The 9314-nt window shown below is 40.3% G+C and overlaps 3 annotated features.

The window, feature by feature from the left end:
• Positions 5256-5999: an enhancer, noted in NCBI's record as "H3K27ac hESC enhancer chr7:64428091-64428834 (GRCh37/hg19 assembly coordinates)". NCBI's record gives its function as "activates a minimal SCP1, AML or CMV promoter by ChIP-STARR-seq in naive H9 embryonic stem cells {active_cell/tissue: H9 hESC(naive)}" and the evidence as "EXISTENCE:reporter gene assay evidence [ECO:0000049][PMID:30033119]".
• Positions 6000-6743: an enhancer, noted in NCBI's record as "H3K27ac hESC enhancer chr7:64428835-64429578 (GRCh37/hg19 assembly coordinates)". NCBI's record gives its function as "activates a minimal SCP1, AML or CMV promoter by ChIP-STARR-seq in naive H9 embryonic stem cells {active_cell/tissue: H9 hESC(naive)}" and the evidence as "EXISTENCE:reporter gene assay evidence [ECO:0000049][PMID:30033119]".
• Positions 6841-7041: a silencer, noted in NCBI's record as "peak6534 fragment used in MPRA reporter construct". NCBI's record gives its function as "represses an SCP1 promoter by STARR-seq MPRAs in K562 erythroleukemia cells {active_cell/tissue: K562}" and the evidence as "EXISTENCE:reporter gene assay evidence [ECO:0000049][PMID:32103011]".

Raw genomic sequence — 9314 nt, forward strand, 5'->3', positions numbered from 1 at the left:
GAATCAAATTAAGAACTCAACCCCTTCTACAATAGCTGCACAAAAAATAAAATACTTAGGAATATACCTAACCAAGGAAGTGAAAGACCTCTACAAGAAAAACTACAAAATGCTGCTGAAAGCAATAGATGACACAAATAAAAACACATCCCATGCTCATAGATGGGTAGAATCAATACTCTAAAAATGACCATACTGCCAAAAGCAATCTACAAATTCAATACAATTCCCATCAGAGTACTGACATTATTCTTCAAATAACTATGAAAAAACAATCCTAAAATTCATATGGAACCAAAAAAAAAGCTTGCATAGCCAAAGCAAGACTAAGCAAAAGAAACAAATCAAAAGGCTTCGTATTACCCAACTTCAAACAACACAATAAGGCCACACTCACCAAAACAGCATGGTACCGGTATAAAAATAGGGACATAGACAAACAGAACAGAATGGAGAACCCAGAAATAAACACAAATAGTTACACCCAACTGATCTTTGACAAAGCAAACCAAAACATAAAGTGGGTAAAGGACACCCTATTCAACAAATGGTGCTGGGATACTTGGCAAGCCACATGTAGAAGAATGAAACTTGATCTCATCTCTCACCTTATACAAAAATCAACTCAAGATGGATCAAGGACTTAAATCTAAGACCTGAAACTATAAAAATTCTAGAAGATAACATCAGAAGAACCCTTCTAAACATTGGCTTAGTCAAGGATTTCATGACCGAGAACCCCAAAGCAAATGCAATGAAGACACAGATAAATAGCTGGGACTTAATTAAACTAAAGAGCTTTTGCATGGCCAAAGGAAGTGAGCAAAGTAAACAACAACCCACAGAGCGGGAGAAAATCTTCACAATTTATATATCTGACACAGGACTAATGTCCAGAATCTGCAACAAACTGAAACAAATTAGCCAGAAAAAAAAAATCTCGTCAAAAAGTGGGCTAAGGACATAAATAGACAATTCTCAAAAGAAGATATAAAAATGGCCAGGAAACACATGAAAAAATGCTCAACATCACTAATGATCAGGGAAATGCAAATCAAAACCATAACGTGATACCACCTTGCTCCTGTAAGAATGGCCATAATAAAAAAATAAAAAAATAATAAATGTTGGTGTGGATGGAGTGAAAAGGAAACACTTCTACACTGCTAGTGGGAATGTAAACTAGTACAACCACTATGGAAAACAGTGTGGAGATTCCTTAAAGAACTAAAGGGAGAACTACCATTTGATCCAGCAGTCCTACTATTGGGTATCTACCCAGAGGAAAAGAAGTTATTATTTAAAAAAAAAAAAAAAAACTTGCACACGCATGTTTATAGCAGCATAATTTGGAATTGCAAAAATGTGGAAACAACTCAAATGCCCATCAATCAACAAGTGGATAAAGAAACTGTGGATATATATACATATATATATATATATATGTATGTGTATATATATATATATGTATGTATATATATAATTGAATACTACTCAGAAATGGAAAATCAAACATTGTATGTTCTCACTCATAATTGGGAGCTAAACTATAAGGATGTAAAGGCATCAGGTAAAAGACTACAAATTGGGTTCAGTGTATACTACTCAGGTGATGGGTGCACCAAAATCTCAGAAATCACCACTAAAGAATTTACTCATGTAACCAAATACCACCTGTTAAACAAAATTTATGGAAATAAAAAACTTAAAAAAAAAAAAAAGACTGAAAGCGAACTCAGTTCATCCAGCCTTGTTTTCTCATTTTGCAGGAGAAAGGTTGGAGACAGTGCCAACTTCACATAGCCTTTAAGAGATCAACTCCAGACCTCAAATCACACCCTCTGACCCCAAGCCAATGGTCCTTTTTTGCCTCCCAGTATTACTCTGTCTCTTCAAACAAGAAGAAAGAGCCAAGTTGAGAAGGAGAGTGGTCACACCCACACCTAGATTCTATTCTCCTGGGCACTGCCTTCCCTGTGGGACCTACCTATTTAATTCCAGTGCTCATGTTATGCCCAAACCCTGGAAGAATGTGACCTTTAAATCTCTGTGCACCCCAGGAACTAGCAGACATTAAAAGTAATAATAATGGGCTGGGCACACAGGCTTGTGCTTGTGGTCTCAGCTATTCGGGAGGCTGAGGAGGGAGAATATGTTAAGCCCAGAAGTTCAAGGCTGCAATGAGCAATGTTTGCGCCATTGCACTCCAGCCTGAGTGCAGAAAAAGTAATAATGACAAAATAAAAAGAGAAATTTACCAATTACTAAGGAAGTCTAGAAAGGCTAGGTGTACCCCCTCTAAATCTAAAATAACAGTTTAAAAATAAAAATATTTTATTGGTAAAAATAAATAAGATAAAAACCACTTTCTTTTTACCCTGAGATAGTATGTAGAACTTGATTTTTGGTTGAAAGCACTTATTACTAAGCCTAACACAAATAATTTGGCAAATGGGTTCTAACAATAATATGTCTCTCATGACTTAAAAAAGCCACTAATTTTACTTTTGAAATATATTTAATTTTTATATTAAAGCTAAGATGAACCTATTATTACATAGAAAATTTGTGGTCTGCATATGCCTCCCCATCCACTGAGTGGTCTACAGTTTCTGAAAGTTTCAGAAACACTAATATAAGAATACTTTTTCTGATTGAATAATTTAAGGATATTGTTTTCTCAGTGACTAAAATGAAATAGATTGGAATTACAAATCAGTCACTTACAATGTAATTTTAAATGTTATTTAATGAACACGTGAAGTTTTTTAAAACTCATCTGAATAACTTATTTCGATTGACTTTTTTCTATTAGAAAATATATTAAAATTTCTGTTACTACAAGCCTATGAATTTTATTCAAATCTAAATATAGTGCTAATCTTAAAAGATCTCTTTGTTTAGGATTATGAAAGCCTATTCTCTACATACACTCAGAAGATAAATAACCGCTTTCCAGTAAACTCAATGGGGCAACTGTGACTCACAATCATAACCTATTAAAATATTAATACTATTATCTAGGTAAAACTTTTAGGTATCTGCATGTTCAGGTTGTTTAACTTATATAATTCAGAAACTATAAATTTTTATAATCTATAAAAACATTTAAAAAGATAAAGTATCAATTTCTTTTTGTCAGTTTTGAAATACTGACATTATTTCTAGTTGACATAACACTAGAATTCAGATGCTGTGGCTGTAGAAAATAGAAATGTCATGGTTTACTTGGTTTTACTTCCTACCTTCCTATTTCACACAAACAAAGCAGCACAAGGGAAGCCAGAAATGCTACACCTTGATTGCAAAAAAACCAGAACCCTTCTAGAGACAATATATGTGTCAGCATAATAACTTGAAATTCATGGCATCTTTTGTTGAAGTAGAGGCTCCAACAAGAGGCTGAATTAATCAACAAAAGGCTGAATTAATTTGCATTCTCACAAAGACTGTGTAAACATTCCCTATTCTCCACAACATGCTATTTTTTTTTTTACTTTTTAATAACAGCCATTTTAACTGGTGTGAGATGGTATCACATTGTCATTTTGATTTAATCTCTTTAATGGCTTGAGATGTTGGGCAACTTTTTGCATGTTTCTTGACAGCTTTTATATCTTCCTTTGAGAAGTATCTATTGATATATTCTGTGCTTTTTTCCTATTACATTTCTTATAGATTTTGTATATTAATTTTTTTGTTGTATGCAGTTTGCAAATATTTTTCTCCATGCTGTAGCTTGTCCATTTACTTTGTCAAATTTCTTTTGCTGTGCAGGAGATCTAGTTTAATTAGGTGTCAATTTATATTTTTGTTGCATTTACTTTTAAGGTGTTAGTCTCAAATTGTTTTCAGAGGCCAGTGTCCACAAGAGTACTTTCTAGGTGTTCATATAGGATTTTCATAGCTTGAAACTTCATGTTCAGTTTTTAATCTATCTTGAGTTACATTTTTTATATGCTGAGAGGTAAGAGTTGTTTTTTTCTTCTGCATGTGACTAACCATATAGTCCATTATTTATCAGTACCATTTATCAGATGGAAAGTTATTTCCCCTTTATTTCTGTTGACTTTGTCAAAAATAAGTTGGTTGTAGGAGTGTAGCTTTATTTCAAGTCTCTCTCTTCTGTTCCATTGGTCTACATGTTTATTTTTGTCCGAGAACCATGCTATATTGGTTACTGCCACTTGTAGTACAGTTTGAAGTCAGGTAAAGTGAGGCTTCCAGGTTTATTCATTTTGTTTAAAGATGCCTTGGCTATTTGGGCTCTTTTATTCAATATGAATTTAAAACCATTGTTTTTAATTCTACAAAAAATTGCATTGATAGTTTGATAGAAAGAGCATTTAATTTACAAGTTGCTTTAGGCATCATGGACATTTTAATTATATTGATTCTTCAAATCTATGAGCATGGAATGTTTTCCATTTGTATGTGTTGTCCCTGATATCTTTCAGCAGTGTTTTGTAGTTCTTTTTTTTTTTTTTTTTTTTTTATTGATCATTCTTGGGTGTTTCTCGCAGAGGGGGATTTGGCAGGGTCATAGGACAATAGTGGAGGGAAGGTCAGCAGATAAGTGAACAAAGGTCTCTGGTTTTCCTAGGCAGAGGACCCTGCGGCCTTCCGCAGTGTTTGTGTCCCTGGGTACTTGAGATTAGGGAGTGGTGATGACTCTTAACGAGCATGCTGCCTTCAAACATCTGTTTAACAAAGCACATCTTGCACCACCCTTAATCCATTCAACCCTGAGTGGACACAGCACATGTTTCAGAGAGCACAGGGTTGGGGGTAAGGTCACAGATCAACAGGATCCCAAGGCAGAAGAATTTTTCTTAGTACAGAACAAAATGAAAAGTCTCCCATGTCTACCTCTTTCTACACAGACACGGCAACCATCCGATTTCTCAATCTTTTCCCCACCTTTCCCCCCTTTCTATTCCACAAAACCACCATTGTCATCATGGCCCGTTCTCAATGAGCTGTTGAGTACACCTCCCAGACAGGGTGGTGGCCAGGCAGAGGGGCTCCTCACTTCCCAGTAGGGGCGGCCGGGCAGAGGCGCCCCTCACCTCCCGGACGGGACGGGGCGCCTGGCCGGGCGGGGGGCTGACCCCCCTGCCTCCCTCCCGGACGGGGCGGCTGACCGGGCTGGGGGCTGACCTCCCCGCCTCCCTCCTGGATGGGGCGGCTGGCCGGGTGGGGGCTGACCCCCCCCCCACCTCCTTCCCGGACGGGGCGGCTGGCCGGGCAGAGGGGCTCCTCTCTTCCCAGTAGGGGCGGCTGGGCAGAGGCGCCCCTCACCTCCCGGACGGGGCGTCTGGCTGGGCGGGGGGCTGACCCCCCCACCTCCCTCCCGGACAGGGCGGCTGGCCGGGCGGGGGGCTGACCCCCCCACCTCCTTCCCGGACGGGGCGGCTGGCTGGGCAGAGGGGCTCCTCTCTTCCCAGTAGGGGCGGCTGGGCAGAGGCGCCCCTCACCTCCCGGACGGGGCGTCTGGCTGGGCGGGGGGCTGACCCCCCCACCTCCCTCCCGGACGGGGCGGCTGGCCGGGCGGGGGGCTGACCTCCCCACCTCCCTCCCGGACGGGGTGGCTGGCCGGGCAGAGGGGCTCCTCACTTCCCAGTAGGGGCATCCGGGCAGAGGCGCCCCTCACCTCCCGGACGGGGCGGCTGGCCGGGCGGGGGCTGACCCCCCCACCTCACCTCCTGGACGGGGCGGCTGGCCAGGCGGGGGGCTGACCCCCCCACCTCCCTCCCGGACGGGCGGCTGGCCGGGCGGGGGGATGACCCCCCCCACCTCCCTCCCGGATGGGACGGCTGGCCGGGCGGGGGGCTGACCCCCACCTCCCTCCCAGACGGGGTGGCTGCCGGGCGGAGACGCTCCTCACTTCCCAGACGGAGTGGCTGCCGGGCGGAGGGGCTCCTCACTTCTCAGACGGGGCGGTTGCCAGGCAGAGGGTCTCCTCACTTCTCAGATGGGGCGGCCGGGCAGAGACGCTCCTCACATCCCACACGGGGCAGCAGGGCAGAGGCGCTCCCCACATCTCAGACGATGGGCGGCCTGGCAGAGACGCTCCTCACTTCCTAGATGGGATGGCGGCCGGGCAGAGACGCTCCTCACTTTCCAGACTGGGCAGCCAGGCAGAGAGGCTCCTCACATCCCAGACGATGGGCGGCCAGGCAGAGACGCTCCTCACTTCCCAGACGGGGTGGCGGCCGGGCAGAGGCTGCAATCTTGGCACTTTGGGGGGCCAAGGCAGGCAGCTGGGAGGTGGAGGTTGTAGCGAGCCGAGATCACGCCACTGCACTCCAGCCTGGTCACCATTGAGCACTGAGTGAACGCGACTCCGTCTGCCATCCTGGCACCTTGGGAGGCCGAGGCTGGCGGATCACTCGCGGTTTGGAGCTGGAGACCAGCCCGGCCAACACAGCGAAACCCTGTCTCCACCAAAAAAATACGAAAACCAGTCAGGTGTGGCAGTGCGCGCCTGCAATCGCAGGCACTCGGCAGGCTGAGGCAGGAGAGTCAGGCAGGGAGGTTGCAGTGAGCCGAGATGGCAGCAGTACAGTCCAGCTTTGGCTCGGCATCAGAGGGAGACCGTGGAAAGAGAGGGAGAGGGAGGCCGTGGGGAGAGGGAGACCGTGGGGAGAGGGAGAGGGAGAGAGAATTACAGTTTTTAAAAAGTAGACTGTAGTTCTCCTTCTAAAGATATTTTACCTCCTTGAGTCAATCCATTCCTAGGTATATTATTTTTTGTTTGTGGCTATTTTAAATAGAGCTCTGTTCTTGATTTTGTTCTCTGCTTAAATGTTATTCAAGTGTTGAATGTTATTCAAGGTGTATAGAAATGCCAGTCATTTGTGTACATTGATTTGGTATCCTGACACTTTGCTGAATCATTTTTTAGGCTTGGGAGTCTTTGGGAGAAATCTTTAACGTTTTTCAAGTAGAGAATTATATCATCAGTGAAGATAATTTGACTTCCTCTTTTCTTATTTGGATGCCTTTTTCTTTTTTCATCTTGTTGGATTGCTCTGGCTAGGACTTCCAGAACTATGTTGAATAGGAATATTTAGAGTGGACATTGATCTTATTTTTATTTGTAAGAATGCATCAAGCTTTTTCCTGTTCAGTATAATGTTGCCTGAGGATAATGTTGCCTGAGGATGGCTCTTATTATTGTGAGGTATTTTTTTCAATGCCTTGTATGTCGCATGTTGAGAATACTTTTATGAACATTAAATTTCCTTTAATGATTTTTCCACATCTAGTGTAATAATTATATGGTTTAATCATTTTAATTATCTTTATATGGTGAGTCACACTTATTGACTTGCATATGATAAAACATCCTTGCATTCATGAAATGAAACTCACATGATTGTGGCAAAATAACTTTTTGATTTGTTTATGAACTCAGCTTACTAGTATTTCATGAAAGATTTTTGTTTCAATGTTCATCAGGCATACTGAACTATAGATTTTTTTGTTGTCTTAACTAAATTTTGGTATCCAGATGATGCTGATTTCATATAACAACTTAGGAAGGATTAGCACAAGCTCAACTTTGGATATGTGGTAGAATTTAGCTGTGAATTCATCTGATCCAGGGCCTTTTATACTATGTAGGGTATTTTTAATTACAAATTTAATTTTGTTATAAATTTTTCCTCTGTTCAAGACTTCTCTTTCTTCTTGGTTCAGTCTCGGGAGATTGTGTATATGAAGTTTATCTATTTTTTAAAAAATTTTCTAGTTTGCATGCATAGAGATATTTATAGTAGTATCTGAGGATGTTCTGTATTTATATGGATTAGTTGTGATTTCACAAATCTAACATTCAAATAAATACAGAATAAAAGTTTCAAAAAAATTCAACATTCCCTCACAATAAATCTCTGAAAAAAATAGGTACAGGACAAATGCATCTCAAGCCAATAAATGCCATGTATAATAAAAAAATGCAAAGCTAACAACATACTAAACAGGAAAGTGTTGTAAGCTTTTACTCTAAGAACTAGAACAAGACAAGGATGCCCACTTCCTTCAGACTTACTGAATGTAGTACTAAATATTCAAGACAGAGAAATTAGAGAATAAAATAAAAGGAATCCAGATTGAAAAAACCAAAAAGTTAAATTATCCCTCTTTGCACATAACATAATCTACAGTATAGAAAAGACTAACACTTCACTAAGAACCACTAGAATAAACAAATTTATTAAACTTGCAGAATTTAAAATCAACATTAAATAGTATCAGCTTTATACATTAAAAATTAACTACCTCAAAATGAAATTTAAAAACAATCCCATCTACAATAACTGTAGTAACTATACTTTGAAATCAATTTAATCAAAATGTTAAAACACCATATATTATAATCTAAAGAACATTAAAGTAAAAATTAAATAATAAACAAATGGAAAAATAGTACTTATTCACAAATTTGCCTTATTAATACACTAAATATCTTTATTACACAAAATGATCTACAGATATAGTGCAAACTCTATCAAAATACCAATGACATACTTAATAGAAATTTTTTAAAAATATCTAAAATTTGGCAGGGCATGGTGGCTCATGCCTATAATCCCAGCACTTTGGGAGACTGAGGTGGGTGGATCACCTGAGGTTGGGAGTTCGAGACCAGCCTGACCAACATGGAGAAACCCCATCTCTAGTAAAAATACAAAATTAGCCAGGCATGGTGGCACATGCCTGTAATCCTGGCTACTCGGGAGACTGAGGCAGGAGAACTACTTGAACCTGGGAGGCAGATGTTGCGGTGAGGTGAGATCATGACATTGCACTCCAGCCTGGGCAACAAGAGTGAAACTGTCTCAATAAATAAATAAATAAATAAATAAATAAATAAATAAACAAACAAACAAACCTAAAATTTATATGGTACCACAAAAGACCCTGAATAGCTAAAGCAACCAAACAGAAAAAAAATAAAAAAATAAAAATAGGCTGAAGGTATCACTATACCTGACTTTGAAATATACTACAAAGTATAGTAACCAAAACAGTATAGTACTTGAATAAAAACAGACACATAGGCCAATGGAGCAGAAAAGAGATCAGAAATATATCCACGTATTTAAGCTAACTTATTTTATAATTTCTTTTAAAAAGGACAGTCTCTTCAACAAATGGGGTTGAGAAAACTTTATATCCACATGCAGAGAAATAAAATGAGATCCTCTTCTCACACCACATATAAAAATCAACTAAAATTAGATACTTAAATGTAAGGCTTAAAACTCAGAAATTACCATAAAAATATAGATTGAAAGCCCATAACA

Source organism: Homo sapiens, chromosome 7 (genome assembly GCF_000001405.40).
Source record: "Homo sapiens chromosome 7, GRCh38.p14 Primary Assembly".
Taxonomy (NCBI): Eukaryota; Metazoa; Chordata; class Mammalia; order Primates; family Hominidae; genus Homo; species Homo sapiens.